Source organism: Homo sapiens, chromosome 21 (assembly GCF_000001405.40).
Source record: "Homo sapiens chromosome 21, GRCh38.p14 Primary Assembly".
Classification (NCBI taxonomy): Eukaryota; Metazoa; Chordata; class Mammalia; order Primates; family Hominidae; genus Homo; species Homo sapiens.
Window position 1 is genome coordinate 36,243,956 of NC_000021.9, and position 23,790 is coordinate 36,267,745.

Below are 23,790 nucleotides of genomic sequence, written 5' to 3' on the forward strand. Positions count from 1 at the left end.
TGGTCTCCCACAGTATTGGGATTACAGGCATAATTCACTGTACCTGGCCTGATTTTTCCTTTCCTTTTTTTTTTTTTTTTTTTTTTTTTGAGACAGAGTCTCACTCTGTTGCCTAGTCTGGAGTGTAGTGGCATGATTTCAGCTCACTGCAACTTCCATCTTTCAGGTTCAAGTGATTCTCCTGTCTCAGTCTCCCACGCTGGGACTATGGGCACGCACCACCACGTCCAGCTAATTTTTGTATTTTTAGTAGATGGAGTTTCTCCATGTTGGCCAGGCTGGTCTCAAACTCCTGACCTCAGGTGATCTGTCCTCCTAGGCCTCCCAAAGTGCTGGGATTACAGGCATGAGCCACCATGCCACCACACCCAGCCTCCAGTTTGTCTTTATACACATGTGACATTTCGGTGAATATCCACATCCTTATGGCTTTGAAAGTCTTCTGCTGACATTTCTGCAGGATACATTTCTGTTTTTTTGTTTTTTAAGACGGAGTTTCGCTCTTGTTGCCCAGGCTGGAGTTCAGTGGCACAATTTCAGCTCACTGCAACCTCTGCCTCCTGGGTTCAAATGATTCTCCTGCCTCAGCCTCCCGAGTAGCTGGAATTACAAGCACCTGCCACCACGCCCAGCTAACTTTTTGTATTTTTAGTAGAGACAGGGTTTCACCATTTTGGCGAGGCTGATCTCGAACTCCTGACCTCCGGTGATCTACCTGCCTTGGCCTCCCAATTGCTGGGATTACAGGTGTGAGCCACTGCACCCGGCCAGGAGACATTTCTTGAAAGAGAATTCCTAGGAAAAAATAATACGTATTTTTAAAAATTGCTCCCCTCCAAAAAATTAAAATACTTAAGTTTACTATAACAATGTAACTAAATGATCCCATCCTTGAACATTCTGTAAAACCTATCCACCTTCCTTTGTCTACTTTTGTCTGTAATGTAAACCGGACTCTGGTGGTGGTGTTTCATGTGAGAATTTTAGGAATATTGATCTTTCTGTCTGGCTTTAAGACAAAGACCGCCCTACAGCTAATGTATCATAGCTGACCCTTCTGTCTAAAGTCATTTGTCATCTTGTAATTTTCAGATGACTTGCACCGTTGGTTTAACAGGAAGAAAACCTCTTTCAGAGAGGCATGCGCAGTGCCCGAGCCTCAGGAGAGCGGCTCTGAAGAGCACCTGCCTCTGAGCCAGTTCACCACAGTGGACCGTGAAGCCATTTGGGCCGAAGTGGAGAAGGAGCCCGAGAAGTACCCGCTGCGAGGCGAGCTGAGCGAGGAAGAGCTGCCCTACTACGTGGAGCTTCCAGACAGGACGGCCCACGGCGCCCCGGACAGCAGCGAGCACACCGAGTCTGCAGATACAAGCTCCTGCCACACGGACAGCGAGAACACGTCCTCCTTCTCCTCCCCTTCCCACGACCTGCAGGAGCTGAGCAACGAAGAGAACTGCTGTGCACCCATCCCCATGGGGGGCAGGGCGTACCCCAAGCGCTCGGCCCTGCTGGCGGCCTTCCAGTCAGAAAGCTTCAAGGCTGGGGCCAAGTTAAGCCTGGTGCGGGTGGACTCGGACAAGACGCAGGCTTCTGAGTCGTTCTCCAGCGACGAGGAGGCGGACTTGGAGCTCCAGGCCCTCACCACATCCAGGCTGCTAAAGCAGCAGCGGGAAAGGCAGGAGGCCGTCGAGGCCTTGTTCAAGCACATCCTGCTCTACCTGCAGCCCTACGACTCTCGGCGGGTCCTCTATGCCTTCTCGGTGCTGGAGGCTGTGCTCAAAACCAACCCTAAGGAATTCATCGAGGCTGTGTCCAGGACTAGCATGGATACCAGCTCCACCGCGCACCTCAACCTCATCTCCAACCTCCTCGCTCGCCACCAGGAGGCCCTCATTGGCCAGAGTTTCTACGGAAAGCTCCAGACCCAGGTCCCCAACGTGTGCCCCCACTCTCTGCTCCTGGAGCTGCTCACCTACCTCTGCCTGAGCTTCCTGCGCTCCTACTACCCTTGCTATTTGAAGGTCTCGCACCGAGACATTCTCGGCAACCGGGACGTGCAGGTCAAAAGTGTCGAGGTTTTGATCAGGATAATGATGCAGCTGGTCTCAGTGGCCAAGTCTTCGGAAGGGAAGAACGTGGAGTTCATCCACAGCTTGCTGCAGAGGTGCAAAGTTCAGGAGTTTGTCCTGCTCTCCCTGTCGGCGTCCATGTACACGAGCCAGAAGCGCTACGGGCTGGCCACCGCCCACCACGGCAGGGCCCTGCCAGAGGACAGCCTCTTTGAGGAGAGTCTCATTAACTTGGGTCAGGACCAGATCTGGAGTGAGCACCCGCTGCAGATTGAGCTGCTGAAGCTGCTGCAGGTGCTGATTGTCTTGGAACACCACCTGGGTCGGGCCCATGAGGAGGCGGAAAACCAGCCCGACCTGTCCCGGGAGTGGCAGAGAGCCCTGAACTTCCAGCAGGCCATCAGCGCCCTGCAGTACGTGCAGCCCCACCCCCTCACCTCCCAGGGTCTTCTGGTCTCTGCGGTGGTGAGGGGTCTGCAGCCCGCCTACGGTTACGGCATGCATCCGGCCTGGGTGAGCTTGGTCACGCATTCCTTGCCCTACTTCGGAAAGTCCCTGGGCTGGACGGTGACACCCTTTGTTGTCCAGATTTGCAAAAACTTGGATGACTTGGTCAAGCAGTATGAAAGCGAATCTGTGAAGCTCTCTGTCAGGTGCGTTACGCTCCTTGTGACATCTTTATTGCTTTAGTGATGGTTTTTATAACGAATGACTGTTTTGCCACGGATGTGGATGTCGGTTGGAGGATAATTTCATCCCAATGAGAAGCCTGTTTAGCATTATCAAGAGGGGTAACAAGCAACTAAATGTTCTGATCCATTATGTTATGTTATGTTATGTTATGTTATGTTATGTTATGTTATGTTATGTTATTTTTGAGACAGAGTCTCTGTCACCCAGGCTGGAGTGCAGTGGCATGACCTCAGCTCACTGCAACCTCTGCCTCCCAGGTTCAAACAATTCTCCTGTCTCAGCCTCCCGAGTAGCTGGGATTACAGGTGCCTACCGCCACATCTGGCTAATTTTTTGTATTTTAGTAGACACGGGGTTTCACCGTGTTGCCCATGCTGGTCTTGAACTCCTGAGCTCAGGCAATCCCCCTGCCTCGGCCTCCCAAAGTGCTGGGGTGCTAGAGGGAGCCACTGCGCCCAGCCCTGATCCTTTATTTCAAATCCGCACAGGTACCCAGTCTAGCTCAGTGTTGCAGGGCATGTCAGCTACTCTCTACTATTTTTGCAAAACAGAAATAAAAATGTGAATCATCTTCACAGAAATTCTAAAACATTGAAACCATTTTTCCAAAGTGACTATATGAATGTAAAATCACACAAAGGATGGTTAACATTATTATAATGATATTCTATGACGAGAGCTCCAGTTTATTTGGGATGGTGATCTCTCCCTAGTTCCTGTGTTTATATATAGGATTAGAAACCCTTATGGCCTCATTCTTTAAAAATTCTCAAACCAGTTTCTCTTTTCTTCACCACAGCACAACCTCCAAGAGGGAAAACATTTCTCCAGATTATCCACTCACCCTTCTAGAAGGTCTAACGACCATTAGTCATTTTTGTCTTTTGGAACAAGCCAACCAAAACAAAAAGGTAAATTTTTTTTTTTCCTGAGTTCAAGGCAATTTTCATGTATTGTTTTGTCTTTGGGCTATGACTGTTTCAAATAAGTAACGTATGTATGTAATGTCTGTAACTAATATGCGTATGGAGGTGATGCAAATGTGAATGCAAATATTACATAAGTCACGTACACACGTATGCAAATGCATGTGTGTTAGCAATGCAAGTGCCTACGCAAATGCATATGCAAATGCATGTATATAATTAACGCAAATGCATAAGTATGTATGTCAGCCATGCAAACATAGTTTTCTTCCTGCTGGCACTCCCTGTGCCAGCCCTTTGCCCATTGTTCCATCAGTAGCCTGTGAGATAACTTATAAAGCCACTTGTTTGATTTTAGGCTTATAGTCATCTTTTTCCATGTATTTTTTACTTGCTATCATGGTGTTCATGAAATCTGAGTAGGCAGACATTTTAGCTGTTGGTTATTCTACCCTGTAGAATACCCTGGGATTAAGTCTTAGAATACATCTAACACTTTGGTTGAATGGTTGAAAAGTTTGTAATTTAGAACATCAGACTCACAGCTGTCTCTGTGAAAGAGAACCATGGGTTGAAATGCACAGAGAAGCTTATTGCTCCCAGACCACCACATGTATGAGTTGCTTAGAAGAGAGTCCAACAGCCCAGACCTAATCCCGCTAGCACTGCTGCCCTCGTGGGAAGAAAAACCATTCCACAGACACAGCCTGCCTCATGTATTCATTTTAATTTTTAGACCATGGCTGCAGGTGATCCTGCCAACTTGAGGAATGCCAGAAATGCCATTTTGGAAGAGCTGCCTCGAACTGTTAACACCATGGCCCTTCTCTGGAATGTTCTCAGAAAGGAGGAGACTCAAAAGAGACCTGTCGATCTCCTAGGGGCCACGAAGGGATCCTCTTCCGTTTACTTTAAAACCACCAAAGTAAGAGGATGTCTCTGTAGTTCTGTCATTTACTTGGTCTTGTATTGTTCCACCCAAAATAAATGTGTATAGGAAAGTGTGCATGATAAACAGATGTGCTCAATGAAACCCAAGTCAGAGATCAGAAGTAGAAATCTCTAGTTCATTTGTTATCAGTAAGTTTCCTATACCTGAAATGGAGGAGTCTGAGTGGTTTCAGCCTGTTTTCTTCTTATTTTCCATTCACCTTATTTTGTAGTTAAAAATAAAGTCTTGGCCGGGCATGGTAGCTCACACCTGTAATCCCAGCACTTTGGGAGGCCAAGGCGGATGGATCTCCTGAGGTCAGGAGTTCAAGAACAGCCTGGCCAACATGGTGAAACCCCATCTCTACTAAAAATACAAAAATTAGCCAGGTGTGGTAGCACGTGTCTGTAATCCCAGCTACTCAGGAGGCCGAGGCAGGAAAATCGCTGGAACCTGGGAGGCGGAGGTTGCAGTGAGCCAAGATTGCACCACTGCACCCCAGCCTGGGCAACAGAGCAAAACCCCATCTCAAAAAAAAATAAAAATAATTAAAATAAATAAAGTCTCTAGAGCTAGGCGCGGTGGCTCATGCTTGTAATCCCAGCACTTTGGGAGGCCAAGATGGGGTGGATTGCTTGAGCTCAGGAGTTCAAGACCAGCCTGGCCAACATGGCGAAACCCCATCTCTACAAAAAATACAAAAATTAGCTGGGTATGGTGGCAGGCACCTGTAGTCCGAGCTACTCAGGAGGCCGAGGCAAGAGGATTGCTTGAGCCTGGGAGGTGGAGGTTGAAGTGAGCTGAGATCACGCCAGTGCACTCAAGCCTGGGTGACAGAGTGAGACCCTGTCTCAAAAACAATAGTCTCTAGTGGTTCAAAGCGGGGATACCTAGATCCTCACCTCTAAATGATCTAGAGACCCCAGCCTTGAGTCTCTAAAGCATTTCTGCGAGACAGCTCATCTCTGTTCTGCTTTTAGCGGTGCCTGTCAAACATGGCCCCATCAGAGTGGAATGTCAGGGTGCCTTTGAGTTCTTAAACCAAAAACGCACAACTGTGAATATTTATATTATAGTTTAGTCTTTGGTTTTCAGTGTCTGCCTCAGAAGGCTGTAGGCGCAGGACTCGGTCGCTCACCATCTGTGTTACTGTGTGTGGCATCTCAGAATTATCTGCCACATCTGACATCAGTTGAGAGCCCCCAGGTGCCAGATGTGGCCGCAGGGATGAGCCTTGCCATCCTGCATTTAGGTACCACGGTGCGTTGTTGGCCTCCAGACATTCTGTCGGTTCCTAGGGTGCCAAGGGAATTCTGTATTTCAAGCTCCTATAAGAACCTGCTCTTAAAAAGATTCAGAAAACCTTTTTTCTCACTCAGAAAAAAAGATTTTCTAAACCTTTTTTAGGGGAGCTTCCTGTAGCACTCAGCCTCTCTGAGCCTCCATTTCCTCGTCTGTTAAACCAGGCTGTGGCTAGCATCCTGTCCTCATGGGTTGAGGGAAAGAGTAATTACGATAAAGGCCGATGCTCATTAGGCACTTAACTCCTAGCCCTCCCTGAGGAACCCAGGGCCGGGGAGCGGGACCCCACATTAGTCCCTCTAGAGCAGAAGCCATGGTGGAAAAGAGGGGACAGCTCCATTGCTGGCTCAGTTGTATCTAATGTGAAATAAACATGGGCGGTTGTCACAGGAAGCGCTGGGTAAATCCGTCTCTTCGACAGACATTTTGTGCCTGCTGCCACGCACCAGGCTCTCTTGCTTTACCGGTGGACAAGAGAGATGAAGTCCCTGCCCCTGTGGCAGAGGCAGACATTAACTGGCAGTGTAATAACGATGTGAGCAGGGCTTCAAAGAAACACAGGGTTTCCTGAGAGTGTGTGAACAGGAGGCCTGGCCTGACCTGGGGTTCCTGAGGCGGCATGGCTTAGCTGAGGCCCCAGGCGGAGAGGATTTAACTACGGTGGGCACTGCAGGCTGAGAGAGCGGTAGGATTTACAGAGCGAGAAACGTGGCGGGAACACAGAGAAATTCATAAGTAGCAAAACAGAGGGTGCTGAGTGACATCAGGACCATGTTACAGGTTTAAATTGATTACCTGATAAAATTAGTTAAATGGTGCTTATTTCTGGAAATTGAGCAACAACTTTCCTAATGAATATAAGCCCTTCCGCAGCAGATGGAGTCAGGCTGAGGCTGTGGGGTTTCCAGATGGAAGCAGTGCTGCAAAGCCTTGCCCGGCTTCCTGCAAGACCCCCACTGTGCTCACAGCAGCAAGGGTGATATTCATCGTCTCCCGAGATGCTCCTGGCCAATCGAGCTGGCCATCCGTCTCTCCACCTTGGCTGCTCACTGCCCCTTCCCCCCGCCGGCATGACACGCCAACATCACACATCTAGCTCCTTGCGGAAAGGGTTTGATTCCTCCCATTGCTGGGATCCACCCATCAGGGAAGCACCTCAGCACAACATTGGGCACAAACATGACAGGGTCCTTGCTCTCGGTATGGACAGCAGTGGTGGTTCAATGTATATGATGCCATAGCCCCAATATTACTCTGCAGTAACTTTTTTTTCCCTATTTTCTAGACCATAAGACAAAAAATTTTAGACTTCTTAAACCCCTTGACGGCCCATCTTGGGGTTCAGTTGACAGCGGCTGTTGCGGCAGTGTGGAGCAGAAAGAAAGCCCAGCGTCACAGTAAGATGAAGGTAAAGTTTAAAAAGTTACAGGAGTGGTTAAACTTACTGTGACAAAGAAATACCACAGAATCATGTGGAATCAAAGGTGACATTGGAAGCCAGCATGGGAAACTATTGAGTTGATTTAATCATTTTATCTTATTTTATTTCTTTATCTATTTGAGATGGAGTCTCTCTCTTTTCACCCAGGCTGGAGTGCAGTGGTGCGATCTTGGCTCACTGCACCCTCCACCTCCTGGGTTCAAGTCATTCTCCTGCCTCAGCCTCCCATGTAACTGGAATTATAGGTGCCCGCCACCACACCCGGCTAATTTTTGTATTTTTTAGTAGAGACAGGGTTTCGCCATGTTGGCCAGGCTGGTCTTGAACTCCTGACCTCAGGTGACCCACCCACCTCGGCCTCCTAAAGTGCTGGGATTACAGGCGTGAGCCACCACACCTTGCCGATTTCATCATTTGAAATGCATGAGATAATATAGCTGTGTCTCAGTACAAGTAGAATGTGTATTGGGCAGGTAGGGAAGAGCGCACCTGACTTCTGTTTTCTAATTTTTCTGTAATGAGTATATAGTACTTGTGTTTAATCTTTTTAAATCTAAAATACATATAAGAGTATATATAACATGAACATTTTTAAAGAATAAAAATGGCACAGTGGCTCACACCTATAATCTCAACACTTTGGGAGGCCAAGACGGGCAGATCGCTTGAGTCTAGGAGTTTGAGACCAGCCTGGGCAATATGGCAAAAAATTAGCCGGGCGTGGTGTTGTGCACCTATAGTCCCAGCTACTCAAGAGGCTAAGGTGGGAGGATCACTTGAGCCTGGGAGGTGGAGGGTGCAGTGAGCCATGATTGTGCCACTGCATTCCAGCCTGGGCGACAAAGCAAGTCCCTATCTAAAAAAAAAAAACTTTACCTAAGAACATGCCACCCATTTGGCTTAAGAAATGGTCACTTATCCTAGCACTGTGGGCCTTTTTTTATTTGTAGTACCATCTTATTGCTTTTTTAATGTGTAGAAATCACACTTGTTAGCTGGGCATGGTGGTATGCGCCTATAGTCCTAGTTACTTGGGAGGCTGAGATGGAAGGATCACTTGAAGCCAGGAATATGAAGCTGCAGTGAGCTACGATTGTGCCACTGCACTCTAGCCTAGACAACAGAGTGACACTTCATGTAAAAAAAAAAAAAAAAAAGGAAATTACATTTGTCCATGATAATAAAGAAAATTGAAATCACCAATCATATTTCTATGCCCAAAGATAATTTCTTTTTTTTTTTTTCTATTGAGACAGAGCGATCTCAGCTCACTGCAACCTCTGCCTCCTGAGTTTAAGCAATTCTCCTGCCTCAGCCTCCTGAGCAGCTGGGATTACAGGTGCATGCCACCACACTCAGCTAATTTTTGTAATTTTAGTAAAGACGGTTTCACCATGTTGGCCAGGCTGGTCTCAAACTCCTGACCTCGTGATCCGCCTGCCTCGGCCTCCCAAGGTGCTGGGATTACAGGCGTGAGCCCAAAGATAATATCAGTTTGTATTTTGCCCGTTCTTTATCCACTTGACTGGTCCATGATGAAGTCCTGCAGGGGTCGGCTTACCTTTTTCAACCTCAATCCTCTTCCTTTGTTCCCTCCCACCCCTGCTCCATCCCCTGCTCGGGATCTGCTGCTGCACCTCCTTGACACTCCCCCAGTGCTCAGCCTTTGTGGCAGACATGGGCGCCTGTTCTCTGAGGAAGAGTCAGTGGTCAGTGTCCAAGGCCACCCTCCTGAGCGCCTGTCGGCTCCTTCCCTGGTGAGGAACCTGGTGCTAGTTGTTTTTCTTCCAAATGCCCATGACCAGGGTATGCAGACTTCTGTCATCAAAAATATGCCTCCCATACCAGGGCTTTCCTTCCAAGGCTAGCAAATGGGAGCCTGGTTTATCTGTTTTTACTTCCTGTCTTCGTATTTTTGATTCCATCTCTTGTTTCCTTCAAATTTAGTATATTTGTTTCTAAAATGCTTTCTACTAAATTCAAACATACCACTATTACAGCCCCATCATGGCCTGCACCTTTTATTCCTAATTTGTATCAAATTATGTTGTTCCCCTGGGTGGAGCCTTTACCTAGTTCAATAGGAAATGTTTGTTTAAGAGATTAAAACAGGCCGGGCGCGGTGGCGGCTCATGCCTGTAATCCCAGCACTTTGGAAGACCGAGGCGGGCAGATCACCTGAGGTCGGGAGTTTGAGACCAGCCTAGCCAACATGGCGAAACCTCATCTCTACTAAAAATACAAAACTTAGCTGGGCGTGGTGGTGGCCAAGATCGCACCACTGCACTCCAGCCTGGGTGACAGAGTGAGACCGTGTTTCAAAAAAAAAAAAAAAGAGATGAAAACAGATTGATTTCTCCAGGGACGACTACTGTAGAATACAATAAGGATGTGTCATCCTTATTTTTACTTTCTCTCTATAAGCTTTCAAGGAACTTTTTTTTTTCTTGGCAGATTATCCCAACGGCAAGTGCATCCCAGCTAACCCTTGTCGACTTGGTGTGTGCACTCAGCACCCTGCAGACTGACACGCTGCTGCACCTGGTGAAGGAGGTGGTGAAGAGGCCACCCCAAGTCAAAGGGGGTGATGAGGTGAGGAGCCTGGGGAAGCCTCTGGGCTTCTGCAGATTAGTGGGTGGCATTTGTCATAACTCTACTTCCTTATAAATCGTGTTTGGGAGGGAAGGATAGGTAACAAGAGCTAGTGGGAATGCTTGGGGTAGTGAAGTGGAGGTGCTGTTTGCTGTGCTTTGGGGGAGACCTATGAAGATCTGGTGCTTCTTTTTTAAGTTGGGAACTGCCTGAGGTCAGGGGCTCTCATTCCTTGTACCCTGCTGCTGAGGACACTGCCTGGTACATGGGTTAGCGCCTTCTGGGCACCAAGTGGAATAAAATCTTTAGAAAGAGGAAATGGCACCTGCCTCAAGGAGCTCGCAGCCATAAAGATGCCAAAGATAAACAAAACCAGACTCTAGTGAAAGATGGTAAAGACAGATGTGATTCAATAACCACTGCGGTAAGGGAAAGTGTTGGGTTCAGTTTAGATTTGTGTGGAGATGACTGGGAAAGGATGAGGGAGGAGGGAGGGGGAAGGAGCAGGAAGTTTAAGGAGAGTTGGAGAAGTAGAAAATTACAAAAGAGCAGGTGGGGAGGCTGCTCAGTCCATAGATGTGATTAGGCCATCTGGGTTTGCTAACTGGGGCTTATCCAAATGAGGCTCCTACCCTCCCACAGAGGCTGGGAGATCGAGACTCTGTCTTTCTTGATGATTCTGTTTCAAAGGGATGGCTCCCAGGTCCTTGAGAAACACATTCCTAGGTTGTGGGAGACACATACACATCTCAAAGGGACAGAGAAAGTATTTATCATTGTAAACTTAAAAGAAAATGCTCTAAGAAAGGGAGGTCAGGGGTCTCGCAGGAACAAACAGTAAATTATTTGGCAACCTTGAGCTTTCTCGGACAAGTGTTTGAAGAGGACTGGTGTCCCCATCCTAGGGATCCATGCTAGTGTTGTTTGGGGCTGTGGGGGTGGACAGAATCATTTGTCAAGCAGAGGGCTCAGAGGAGCCTAGCTAGAATCAGCTCAAGGAGAGAGTCTTTGTCAAGGGCAAATTAAAATTTGTGTAACTTTTTTTTTTTTTTTTTTTTGAGACACAGTTTCACTCTGTCACCCAGGCTGGAGTGCAGTGGTGCGATCTCAGCTCATTGCAACCTCCACCTCCTGGGCTCAAGTGATTCTTGTGCCTCAGCCTCCTGGGTAGCTGGGAGTACAGGTGCATGCTATCACTCCTGGCTAACTTTTGGTTTTGTTTTGTTTTGTTTAGTTTTTTCGAGATGAAGTCTCACTTTGTCGCCCAGGCTGGAGTACAGTGGTGCAATCTCAGCCCACTGCAACCCCGCCCCTGGGGTTCAAGTGATTCTTGTGTCTCAGCTTCCTGAGTAGCTGGGATTACAGGTGCGCACCACCAAGCCCGGCTAATTTTTGTATTTTTTTTTTTCTTTTAGTAGAGACGGGATTTTGCTATGTTGGCCAGACTGGTCTTGAACTCCACTTGCCTTGGCCTCCCGAAGTCCTGGGATTACAGGCGTGAGCCACCGTGCCCGGCCAAAATTTGCATAATTTTTTTTAAAACTTTTTTTTTTTTAAGACAGGATCTCACTGTCACCCAGGCTGCAGTGCAGTGGCACAATCACAGCTCACCATAGCCTCGACCTCCCCAGGCTCAAATGATCTTCCCAAATAGCTGAGACCACACATGCACACCACCACACCTGGCTAATTTTTATATTTTTTGTAGTGACGGGGTTTGCCACATTGCCCAGGCTGGTCTGGAACTCCTAGGCTCAAGCAATCCTCCTGCCTCGGCCTCCCAAAGTGCTGGGATTACGGGCGAGAGCCACCATGCCTGGCTGCATAATTTTTTATAAAGGTAGAAAATAAATGTCAGAGAACATAACTAATGATAGACACTCTGAGAAAGAGGAGATTTCATCTGGCTGCTGTGAAACAGAAACCTTCAGGGTGATGTCATTGAACCGAGAAGTTCCTTGTAATTTTTCTGCTCAATTTCATTACAGCAGCCTGGAGGGCCCATGTTGTCTAGAGAGCTTCTTCAATTATACACGGTGGATTTAAAACAGGGCAAGCTGTGTGGTTTAATATTTGCATTCCCTTAGAGTCTTCTATTTCTGTTTTTACCAAAGCAGTCTTCATCATTGAAAGCAGCAGAGCTGTTTTGCTCTTAATTAACTAATTTAATAAAAACCAGGGATTTATTTCAATCTTGAAATAATTGCCTTCTGTCGAACAGTTTAAAATCATACAGTTAGCAAAAATTTAAGAATAATCTAAATGAAAATTAGGGGGGCCGGGCATGGTGGCTCATGCCTGTAGTCCTAGCACTTTAGTCCAGGAGTTCGAGACCAGCCTGGGCAATGTAGGGAGACATCATCTCTACAGTAAATTTAAAAATTAGCTGGGTGTGGTAGTGCACACCTGTAGTCCCAGCCACTTGGGAGGCTGAGACAGGAGGATCAGTTGAGCACAGGAGTTCGAGGTTGCAGTGAGCTATGATTGAGCCACTGCACTCCAGCCTGGGTGACAGAGTGAGACCCTGTCCAAAAAAAAGAAAATTCGTGCAATGGAAAAAGTGATTATTAAAAAATATAGCTATACTTGAACAGGTGTTTGTGTACCGATGTTCATAGCAGCATTATTCACAGCAGCCAAAAGGTGGACGCAATCCCTGTGTGTCTCAGTGGGTGTGCGGATAACAAAGTGAGATCTGTGCGTGCAGCGCGTTAGTACTCAGCCTCGAGAGGAATGAAATTCTGACACGTGCTACACAACATGGATGTCAGATCCTCAACATGGATGAACCTTGAAGACATTAAGTTGAATGAAATAAGCCAGTCACAAGAGGACTAACACAGTTCTATATCTGGAAAAAAAAAAACAACTGTGTCCTCACTCAACAACATAACAATCAACACAGAAGACTTCTCTTACCCCAAATATGCGGGGAGTTCTCCCCACCAGCAAGCAAGCAATTGATTCCGCAGTGGACACCAGTTGGGTGTCCTCCAATTCAATTCCTACTCTATCTGCTTGGAGATAGTGTCAGATCCCACAGGGTGAGGGCTCAGTCCCCAAGAGCACCCTTCACTTCAGACACCAGTCACAAGTCTGGGCCTCTGGAACTTCTGACTGACTAGCTTCAAGTTGGGATTCCCACGAACCCCCTCTTTGGGTTCAGTTAATTTGTCAGAGCAGCTCCCAGAACTCCAGAAACACGTTTACTGGTTTATTATAAAGGCTACTACTGAGGATACAAATGAAGGGATGCGTAGGGCAAGGTATGGGGGAAGAGGTGCAGAGCTCCTGTGCCCTCCGTGGGCACAGAACCTTCATGTGCTCTGCTCTCTGGAAGCTCACCAAACCCAGTCCTCTTGGGCCTTTTATGGAAACTTCATTGGATGGGTATGACTAAAGCATGGACAACCGTGTCGAAGTGTGATTGGACAAAAAGAGTGTGATCTAATACTTAATACAGTGACTGGGGAAACCTAGCAGGGCCTGCCTGTTCAGATTCTTCTTGGCCTGTCTGCACAGCACTGCTTCCTCCAGGGTGTGGGACAGGACCCTCTCCAGAATGAGGGTCTTATGAACCGTAGTCAGATTAGAGTCCTGCCTTGGGGCAGGTCAAAGGAGGGCAGGAGTTATGAACCAAGAACTGCAGACAAACACGTAAAAACATAGGTTGATACGTAGATAGATGATAGATAGATAGATAGATAGATAGATAGATAGATAGATAGATAGAAGTAGTTAGGTAAATAGATAGATGTAGGTAGGTAGGTAGATGTAGGTAGGTAGGTAGAGAGATGGATGTAGGTAGGTAGGTAGGTAGATAGATGTAGGTAGGTAGGTAGATGTAGGTAGGTAGGTAGAGAGATGTAGGTAGGTAGGTAGGTAGATGTAGGGTAGGTATGTAGATAGATGTAGGTAGGTAGGTAGATGTAGATAGGTAGGTAGGTAGAGAGATAGATGTAGGTAGATGTAGTTAGGTAGGTAGGTAGATGTAGGTAGGTAGATAGATGTAGGTACGTAGGTAGATAGGGAGATAGATGTAGGTAGATGTAGGTAGGTAGGTAGATGTAGGTAGGTAGGTAGATGTAGGTAGGTAGGTAGATAGGTAGAGAGATAGATGTAGTTAGATGTAGGTAGGTAGATAGATGTAGGTAGGTAGGTAGATGTAGGTAGATAGATAGATAGATGTAGGTAGGTAGATAGATATTATGATTTTAGAGTGTTAAAGGGTGGCTCACTCCTGTAATCCCAGCACTTTGGGAAGCCGAAGCAGGGGGATTGCTTGAGCCCAGAAGTTTAAGACCAGCCTGGGCAACAAAGTAAAACCTTGACTCTAAAAAGAAAAAAAAAATTAGCCAGGCATGGTATGCACCTGTAGCCTCAGCTACTTGGGAGGCTGAGGTGGGAGAATCACTTGAGCCAGGGAAGTTGAAGCTGCATTGAGTCAAGATCACGCCACTGCACTCCAGTACAGAGCAAGACCCTGTCTGAAAACAAAAGAAAGACTTTTTTTTTTTTTCACATCAGACAATGTGCCGACCATTGTAACAAAGTTTGAGGGTGGCACATATCACGCATGTGCGTGAACACCCAATCATCACACTAATGAACTGCAGATGAATCGGAAGACTTTTTTTTCAGCCATTTTTTTCAGCCTCACATATGACACGGGGCAGCCCCCTATAGAAATGTCCAGGCCCCGAGGGCCTGGCCGTTGGGCGTCACCCAGTCAGTTATCCTCCAGCTCCTGGTCTCTTCCTTCGTTCCAGTGTTAATCGACAATGCTCTATGTGCACTGAGTGGTGTCGTGGAGGCTAAATAGTGGAAAAAGCAATTCCTGCCCTCAGTCCTCCTATATTCTAGGTTGGCAAAGAAGAGAGAAGAGAAGAGAAGCCATCCTAAAAAATAACAGCACTGCGAGGCCAGGTTATGGAGCGAGCTCAGTCAGTGCTTAAGGCTTCGAATGTAAAAGGACCCGGATGACTTCCACAGTATTTCTTGGGGATCTGGCCCAGGTCTCCCAATCTTCCAAGAACGTATGGTCATCCTGTTGCCTTTCACTGTTTTTTTTTTTTTTTTTTTTTGAGACGAAGTCTTGCTCTGTCGCCCAGGCTGGCGCAATCTCGGCTCACTGCAAGCTCCACCTCCCAGGTTCATGCCATTCTCCTGCCTCAGCCTCCCTAGTAGCTGGGACTACAGTCGCCCGCCACCACGCCCGGCTAATTTTTTGTATTTTTAGTAGAGACAGGGTTTCACCGTGTTAGCTAGGATGGTCTCGATCTCCTGACCACGTGATCCACCCGCCTCGGCTTCCCAAAGTGCTGGGATTACAGGCGTGAGCCACTGCGCCCGGGCTTTTTTTTTTTTTTCTTTTTTTTTGAGATGGAGTCTCGCTCTGTTGCCTAGCCTAGAGTGCAGTGGCGTGATCTTGGTTCACTGCAACCTCTGCCTCCTGGGTTCAAGCAATTGTCCTGCCTCTGCCTCCTGAGTAGCTGGGATTACAGGCTTGCGCCACCATGCCCAGTTAATTTTTTTGTATTTTTAGTAGAGATGGGGTTTTGCCATGTTGGCCACGCTGGTCTTGAATGCCTGACCTCAAGTGATCCACCCGCCTTGGCTTCCCAAACTTCCGGGATTATAGGTGTGAGCCACCGTGCCTGGCCTCCTTTCATTCTTGTCCATAAATGTTAGGAGTGGGAATGGTGCTCCACAGGGCGGTCTGTGCTGCTGCAGGCTTGGTCGCCGTAGAACCAAGGGGTTCTTCGAGGTCCTGAAGACAGCTCTGCAGAGGCTATGACAGCCAGAGCGAGTGTGTTTAGGTTGTATTCCTTCACATTACTTGAATTTCTACAAATACCTGCAATTTCTAGTCTTTCCTGGGCTATAAAGGAACCGGATTTTATCTAGCTGACTGATTTTTGGCGGTTCAAATAACAAAACTACATTTTGTGGTTAGTTTAGTTAATTAATAGCTGCAAATAGCTTTTTACAAGCAAGGAGGGGGTAAAATATGTGTTTTAGAACTTGTTTCCAAGTAGTTCCAGCCACAGGGTTTTTGGGGAAGCTGTCTGAGCTGGGCTTGGAGTCATCTTCTAAACTAAGAACTAGAATTTTTTGGCCGGGTGCGGTGGTTCTACTTGGGAGGCTGAGGCACGAGGATCGCTTGAACCTGGGAAGCGGAGGTTGCAGTGAGCTGAGATTGCACCAGTGTACTCCAGCCTGGGCAACAGAGCAAGACTCTTGTAAAAAGAAAAAAAAAAAAGGAAAGAAGGAATGCAAAGAAAGAAAAAGGAAAGGGAAGGGAAGGGGGAAGGGAAGGGGAAGGGAAGGGAGGAAGGGAGGGAGGAAGGAAGGAAGGAAAGAAAGAAAGAAAGAAAGAAAGAAAGAAGAATTAGAATTTTTTCTTGCCTCTTGGTAATCATATGCATTCACTGGAGTCAACACTGGCCCTAGCTTTCTGTTTGGGAAGTTCGGTTACAGTGCCAATTTTCCCGAAATGCCTGTTGACGCCTGGAATGTAAAGTAGGTGCACAGGGTGGGAGATCACTGTAGAAGTCTAAGGGGATGTGAATGATTTGGGGACTCATAGGACACACTTGTTTTAATTGTACATGATGGGCACTATCATGTCTGTTGTTATATCTGAAAGATTCTTTAGTCAAAAACCTTTGCTTTGTTAGGCTATAGATCTGTTTCATTTTGTATCTGAATTCTTTTAGCCTTATTTCCCACCAACTCGGAGTAATTGGTTTTACTTTCATTTTCAGAAATCGCCCCTAGTGGACATTCCTGTGTTGCAGTTTTGCTATGCTTTTCTCCAAAGGTAATACAGTCCCCCGTCCTCCAAAAACTTCCTTAAATACAGATGCTATTGCAGTGAGCATGCATAATAAATATCTGGTTTTATTTCTAGACTACTAGAGAGCCATTGTTCAGAAAATATCTTAAAGTTGTCATAATTTCTTCCCAAGGTATTGATCTATGCTTTTCCTTCTCCAGAGAGTTAACATCTTAAAATCTGTGCAGCGTACTTTGAACACTTTATATGAGCGAAGCTTTATGTGAGGCCTGTTAAACTTTAAAAGGCTTGGATTTGCATTAAATTGATACAGAAAAAGAAAAAAACCACATATAGGGAAGTGTTAAAGACCTCTTTTAGAAAAAGGAGAAATGGGCCAGGCGCGGTGGCTCACACCTGCAATCCCAGCACTTTGGGAGGTGGAGGCAGGCGGATCACTTGAGGCCAGGAGTTTGAGACCAGCCTAGTCAACATGGTGAAACCCTATCTCTACTAAAAATACAAAAATTAGTCCGGCATGGTGGCGTGCGCCTGTAATCCCAGCTACTCGGGAGGCTGAGGCAGGAGAATTGCATGAACCCAGGAGGCGGAGGTTGCAGCGAGCCAAGACCTCACCACTGCTCTCCAGCCTGGGTGACAGAGCAAGGCTCTGTCTCAAAAAAAAAAAAAAAAAAAAGGCAAAATGATTGTTTCTGGTGGCGTTCTCAGTGTGCCTTCCCATGTTTTATGTGGAGAGGTATCTGCTTTGATTTGCTAAGTTAATATATGTATTAGGTGTCTCAGCTAAGAGAGCATTAAAGGGGATTCCGCAGGTTTTTCCCCATGGATGAAAAAGAAGCTTTACTGGACCTCATTCAGATCTTACAATGGCTGCATCCCAGGTGCAGCTCTGTGTTGCAGAAAATGAGGGTGAGGTGGCTGGGTGCGGTGGCTCAACGCCTGTAATCCCAGCACTTTGGGAGGCTAGAGTGGGTGAGTCACTTGAGGCCAGGAGTTTGAGACCAGCCTGGCCAACGTGGTAAAACCCTATGTCTACTAAAACTACAAAAAATTAGCCAGGGCTTGGTGGCAGCATGCCTGTAGTCCCAGCTACTCGGGAAGCTGAGGCAGGTGAATCACTTGAACCCAGGAGGCAGAGGTTGCAGTGAGCTGAGATCACACCACTGCACTCCAGGCTGGGGGACAGAATGAGACTCTATCTCAAAAAGGAAAAAAAATGGGGGTGGGAAGGGTATAGACCACTTCTCAGGGAAGCCTCACTATGCCTACATAGCCATCAGGAGTCTCACTGTAAATAACTCCAACAACCAGGCACAGGCTCCTTGATTCACACAGTTAACATTACATAGTTATTCCCACTCACCACATTCTGAAGTTGCAGGACGGTAAATTGAGGCCTCCTGGTAGATGACCAGGGTGGGGTTAAATTCAGACCACTTCCCTTGTGAGCATCATTGTTGTTCTTTCCTCCAGGAGTTAAAGATGAGCCGGTCACTTCCCTCCTGTGACAGCGAATATATATTGCGTTGCTGGCGAATGTTGAGTGTAGTGGCCTGAGGGACAGCTGAGCTTTCCCAGGAGCTGCAGGTTAGATTTGGTCATCCTCCTTTTGCAGAGGAGAAACCGCCTAGGTCACACAATAGGTAGTAAGTTGGAGAACCAGGACTTGGACCTGGGACACTCTGACTGTAGTCTGAGCTTTCACTGCCTGGACTGTGCTTCCTCGCTTTGGAGCGGTGATCTCAGAATCCTCATCCTGAGAGCTACAGAGCGGGGTAGGCCAGTTTCCTGGTGAGTGTCCTGGGACCTAATGCTTTGCAGCCTTCTGACAGGTGATGCTGTGTTACCAGCCACTTCAGGGAAGCAGAATATTAGCACTAGAAAGGCCTGAGAGATCAGCCGGGCACGGTGGCTCACGCTTGTAATCCCAGCACTTTGGGTGACCGAGGCAAGTGGATTTACTTGAGGCCAGGAGTTCAAGACCAGCCTGGCCAACATGGTGAAACCCTACTAATCTCTACTAAAAATACAAAAAATTAGCCCAGTGTGTTGGCCCGCGCCTATACTCCCAGCTTGGGAGGCTGAAGAACGAGAATCGCTTAAACCCGGGGGGCAGAGGTTGCAGTGAGCTCAGATCGTGCCACTGCACTCCAGCCTGGGTGACAGAGCAAGACTCTATCTTAAAAAACAATAATAAAATAAATAAATAAATAAATAAAATAAAATAAAATAAAATAGAAGAAAGGCCGGGCGCAGTGGCTCACGCCTGTAATCCCAGCACTTTGGGAGGCCGAGGCGGGTGGATCACCTGAGGTCGGGAGTTCGAGATCAGCCTGGGCAACACGGTGAAACCCCGTCGCTACTAAAAATACAAAATTAGCCGAGCGTGGTGGCACATGCCTGTAATCCCAGCTATTCGGGAGGCTGAGGCAGGAGAATCGCTTGAACCTGGGAGGCGAAGGATGCAGTGAGCCGAGATCACGCCATTGCACTCCAGCCTGGGCAACAAAAGTAAATCTCCGTCTCACCAAAAAAAAAAAAAAAAAGGCCTGAGAGGTCAAGGTCGATCATCTAATTTAAGGCTTTTATTTTAGAGACAAAGAAACCAGGAGTATCTCACCTGCCAGCAGTAGGATTTCAGGTTCTCAAACTCCAAGTGTTTGCCAGAATACCAAAGTTTAGCTCATGTACATTGTAAGTTTTTAAAAAGAAAAAGGTCAGTGAGGTATGCTGTTTACCCTTTGCTTTCCAACTGCCAGGATCTTAAATATGCTTATAAATAAATGTATTTTGACTTGTTCGTGGTTGAGTATTTTTCCTATCTTTTAAAAAAACAGGCTCCCAGTACCAGCCTTGCAAGAGAACTTTTCTTCACTGTTGGGAGTATTGAAAGAGTCTGTACAGTTGAATCTAGCCCCACCTGGGTATTTTCTGCTTCTCAGGTATCATGTCACCACATTGTCATTGTGTAATATTTTCTCTTGGCACATATTTTATTTCTGCAGCATTTTTAATCTGAAGCTGATTGTCTCCCAACAGCATGCTGAATGACTTTGTAACAAGAACTCCCAACCTGGAAAACAAGAAGGACCAAAAAGACCTGCAGGTTTGTATATGAAAGAGGTTCAGCCAAATGATATTACCCCAGCAGTGCTGTCCTCCTTTGGGGGATATCAGATAGCAGGTAGACAAGAGACATTGGACAGAATCTGAGGTTAGCTTTGCACTTGTTCTCAAGTCTTACTTCTGCCATCACTGTCTCTAGAGAGTTCGGACAGTCCCGGGGCCCGGGTTTTCTGATGAAGGTTCTTGTGTAATGCTTGAGCAATCGATTGTGGAATTGACAGCTGCACCCCTCACCCTCCACACTGTATGCAGATGTATGTGGATCTCACTGTAAAACATAAATGGAATAAGAAATCTTATTTCCCCCCAGACGCGGTGGCGCATACTTGTAATCCCAGTACTTTGGGAGGCTGAGGCGGGCAGATTGCTTAAGCTCAGGAGTTTGAGACCAATCTGGGTAACATAGTGAGACCTCATCTCTACAAAAGTACAAAAATTAGCCTAGTGTGATAGCTACACCTATAGTCCCAGCTACTTGGGAGGCTAAGGATCCCTTGAGCCTGGGAGGTTGAGGCTGTAGTGAGCTGTGATCACACCACTGCACTTCAGCCTGGCAACAGAGAGAGATCCTGTCTCAAAAAAATTTTTTAAAAAAGGAAGCTATCTCCATACATGGATATTTCTTTTTTTCTTTTTTTTTTTTTTGGGCCAGGGGGTTGGACAGAATCTCACTCCATCACCCAGGCTAGAGTGCAGTGGCACGGTCTCAGCTCACTGAAACCTCCACCTCTGGGGTTCAAGCGATTCTTCTGCCTCAGTCTCCCAAGTAGCTGAGATTACAGACATGCCACCACGCCCGGCTAATTTTTTGTATTTTTAGTAGAGGCGGGCTTTCTCCATGTTGGCTGGTCTGGTCTCAGACTCCTGACCTCAGGTGATCCTCCTACCTTGGCCTCCCAAAGTGCTGGGATTACAGACGTGAGCTACCACACCCAGCCTCCATACATGGATTTCTTTCCTTAAACGCCTTATCCCCCATTATAACAGTAATATATGCTCATAACAATTTGTTTAATACTGAAAAATAAAACTCATCATAGGAGAAGGAAAACTCAGAGTGGAATGCCAACTAATAAATACGGAAGTTATGATGAAGTTGGAAAAATCACTGTTTTGCAAACCATTATAGACATTGATTCAGTTGGCTTTTCTATCACATTTATAGCCTTGGCGATACTACTGCTAATCTTTATGATCCCTGGCATTTGTGAAAGGTATATCCAGAAACAGCCTCAGGTCCACAGTTCTGAACCACAAGAGTACTGTATAAAGTGCAGTAGGCCGTGTGCGGTGGCTCACGCCTGCAATCCCAGCACTTTGGGAGGCCAAGGTGGGCGGATCACCTGAGGTCAGGGGTTCAAGACCAGCCTGGCCAACATGGTGAAACCCCACCTCTACTGAAAATACAAAAATTAGCCATGCCTGGTGGCGGATGCCTATAATCCCAGCTACTCAGGAGGCTGAGGCAGGAGAATCGCTTGAACCTGGGAGGCAGAGGTTACAGTGAGCCGAGATCTCACCACCGTACTCCAGCCTGGGCAACAAGCGTGAAACTTCGTCTCAAAAACAAAAAACAAAAAAACAAAAACACCATAAAGCATAATTAGAAAATTCCAGTGCCTCCTCCTTTGGCCTTGACTTGTAGCCAGAGAAGAAAACGTTACAATGCCGATGCTGCACGTCCAGGTGCTGGGATAGCACTTGCTCACCTAAGCCCTCCCTGCTTTCGTGGCCTGTTGCCTGTAGCAGGCCCCTCTGTCTTCAGCCAGCCTGGACAGGGCTCTGGCCACAGGCATTCCCTCCGTTGTTGCAGCTGGCATGCCTCTTCTCTGCTCCTTTTGGTTGCGGGGACCAGGTGGCATCTGCTTCTTTCTGTCTCATGACACCTGGCCTCCCCGCCACTAATTCCTTCCTACTGTTTTGAGCGACACCCTATGCTTCTTCCCCACTGAGGATATAGAAAAAAACAAAGTGTGATTTTCCTACCACACTCTCGTAACATAGAATCCTTCTGTGACCTCGTAACCAAAATGTGTGGGAATTGCTTCCCACCAGCAACCAAGCTAGTAGTTCTGCAGTGGACACTAGATAGGCACCGTCCAATTCCATTCAATTCTGGCATTCCCCACCTAGAGATAGCTTGAGATCCTGCAGGTTGAGGGCTCAGTCCCACAAGACTGCCCCACCCCCTCAGATGCCAATCACAAGCCCCAAGTGGTTTCATCTGTGCTTTTGACAGACCAGCTCTAAACTGGGGTTCTCACTACCCACCCCTTGGGTTCTGTTAATTAGCTGGAGTGGCTGATGGAACTCAGGGAACACATTGAACAGTTTATTTTATTTATTTATTTATTTTTTTGAGACAGAGTCTTGCTCTTGTTGCCCAAGCTGGAGTGCAATGGCACGATCTCAGCTCACTGCAACCTCCGCCTCCCAGGTTCAAGCGATTCTCTTGCCTCAGCCTCCCGAGTAGCTGGGATTACAGGTGCCCGCCACAATGCCAGCTAATTTTTGTATTTTTAGTAGAGGTGGGGTTTCACCATGTTGGCCAGGCTGGTCTCGAACTCGTGACCTCGTGATCCAGCCGCCTCAGCCTCCCAAAGTGCTGGAATTACAGGCATGAGCCACCACACCCGGCTGACCAGTTTATTATAAAGGAGATTAGAAAGGATACAGATGAAGCGATGATCAGGCAAGGTACGTGGGAAGGGGCACAGAGCTTCCATGCCCTCCTAGGGCACCACCCTCTAGGAACCTCCACATGTTTAGCCATCCAGAAGCTCATCCGAACCCAGTTACTTTGGGGTTTGTGGAAGCTTCATTACATAGGCATGATGGATTAAATCACTGGTCATTGGTGATCAATTTAACCTTTAGCCCCTCTCCCCTTCCTGGAGGTTGGGGAGCTGAAGTTCTCTGGGGGCCCCCAGCCACAACCATCTAAGACACGTATTACTTTGGAGAATCCAAGGAATTTAGGAGTTATAGCTGGGAAATGGGGAGAAAGGCCAAAAACATTTCCACAATATCACACCCGTCCACTCAGTGCTTTCATCAGTCCTTACGGGAACTCCTCTAAGCCCCTAATCCCTTTTCCTGACTTTCCTTGTGCCCTTCACACCCTGCCCTGCCTAAGTTAGCCAATTCGCCACTTCCCTCGAGCGCACCCTTCTCTCACCCAGCAGGCAGGTGTGCCCTGCTTCACACCTCAACACAACTGCTGAGCCTAGGAACCGTGTGGCACAGTTGAGGTCAGGATTATAAAATTCTCGGATGTCAAGGATTATAGCCACTCGTAGCTGGTGACACTTGATGACACTGGCTGAGAAGCCTGCTTCGAGTTTCTGTCTCTCCAGCTACTAACCAGATTCTTTACTGATCATACTCCTGAGAGTGGATGACTCCTCACTTCACCCCACTGAGTCAGTTTAACTTACTGACCTTTATTTCTTGTATATTATTGAAAGATGCATTTCTAGGAAGAACCCGTGGTCCTAGAGAAACCAGAAAGCCAATCCACTGAATACAATTTATGGTTTTTTCATCAGCGTGCTGCAATGACTTGTGTTCTCTGTATATTTTACCTACATTGGCCAGTATAGTAGCCGTTAGCCACAGGTGGCTGTTGAGCACTTGAAGTGTGGCTAGTCTGCAGCCTGGGCAACATAGGGAGACCCCATCTCTACAAGAAATTTAAAAATTATCCAGATGTGGTGGCATGCACCTGTAGTCCCAGCTACCTGGGAGCCTAAGGATGGCTTGAGCCCAGGAGGTCGAGGCTGCAGTGAGACTTTTTTTTTTTTTTTTTTGAGATGGAGTCTTGCTCTGTTATTGGGGGAACTCACCCCCAGTATTTCAATGTAGGTTCTTTCTATTTTCCGTAAGTGTCGGCCGGCTGAGAAATAAAGGGA

At 47.1% G+C, this 23,790-nt stretch overlaps 1 protein-coding gene and 1 non-coding gene across 6 annotated transcripts in view, besides 3 other annotated features; one reads left to right on the top strand and one right to left on the bottom strand.

The window, feature by feature from the left end:
* Positions 1-23,790, top strand: part of DOP1B (DOP1 leucine zipper like protein B) — a 137,451-nt gene that overhangs the window by 87,132 nt on the left and 26,529 nt on the right. For 4 of the 5 annotated variants that reach the window (XR_937581.4, NM_001320714.2, NM_005128.4 and 1 more), the window contains 8 exons: positions 1,093-2,722; positions 3,562-3,673; positions 4,425-4,613; positions 7,207-7,329; positions 9,817-9,954; positions 16,722-16,777; positions 19,591-19,695; positions 19,793-19,859. Coding sequence is in view for 3 of the 5 variants with exons in the window: in NM_001320714.2 (NP_001307643.1) it covers positions 1,093-2,722; positions 3,562-3,673; positions 4,425-4,613; positions 7,207-7,329; positions 9,817-9,954; positions 16,722-16,777; positions 19,591-19,695; positions 19,793-19,859 (2,420 nt within the window). In the remaining 2 variants the exon portion in view is untranslated. Of the gene's footprint in view, positions 1-1,092; positions 2,723-3,561; positions 3,674-4,424; positions 4,614-7,206; positions 7,330-9,816; positions 9,955-16,721; positions 16,778-18,226; positions 18,341-19,590; positions 19,696-19,792; positions 19,860-23,790 lie in introns of those variants that run through there. The other variant, XR_007067795.1, reaches the window with a different exon arrangement.
* Positions 1,804-2,305: an enhancer, noted in NCBI's record as "H3K4me1 hESC enhancer chr21:37618057-37618558 (GRCh37/hg19 assembly coordinates)". NCBI's record gives its function as "activates a minimal SCP1, AML or CMV promoter by ChIP-STARR-seq in primed H9 embryonic stem cells {active_cell/tissue: H9 hESC(primed)}" and the evidence as "EXISTENCE:reporter gene assay evidence [ECO:0000049][PMID:30033119]".
* Positions 10,096-10,195: an enhancer, noted in NCBI's record as "active region_18431". NCBI's record gives its function as "activates an Ori minimal core promoter by ATAC-STARR-seq in GM12878 lymphoblastoid cells {active_cell/tissue: GM12878}" and the evidence as "EXISTENCE:reporter gene assay evidence [ECO:0000049][PMID:35858748]".
* Positions 11,966-12,015: an enhancer, noted in NCBI's record as "active region_18432". NCBI's record gives its function as "activates an Ori minimal core promoter by ATAC-STARR-seq in GM12878 lymphoblastoid cells {active_cell/tissue: GM12878}" and the evidence as "EXISTENCE:reporter gene assay evidence [ECO:0000049][PMID:35858748]".
* LOC124905072 (small nucleolar RNA U13) lies at positions 14,471-14,576 on the bottom strand. Its single transcript, XR_007067951.1, has one exon. It is a non-coding gene; the product is annotated as a small nucleolar RNA U13 (small nucleolar RNA).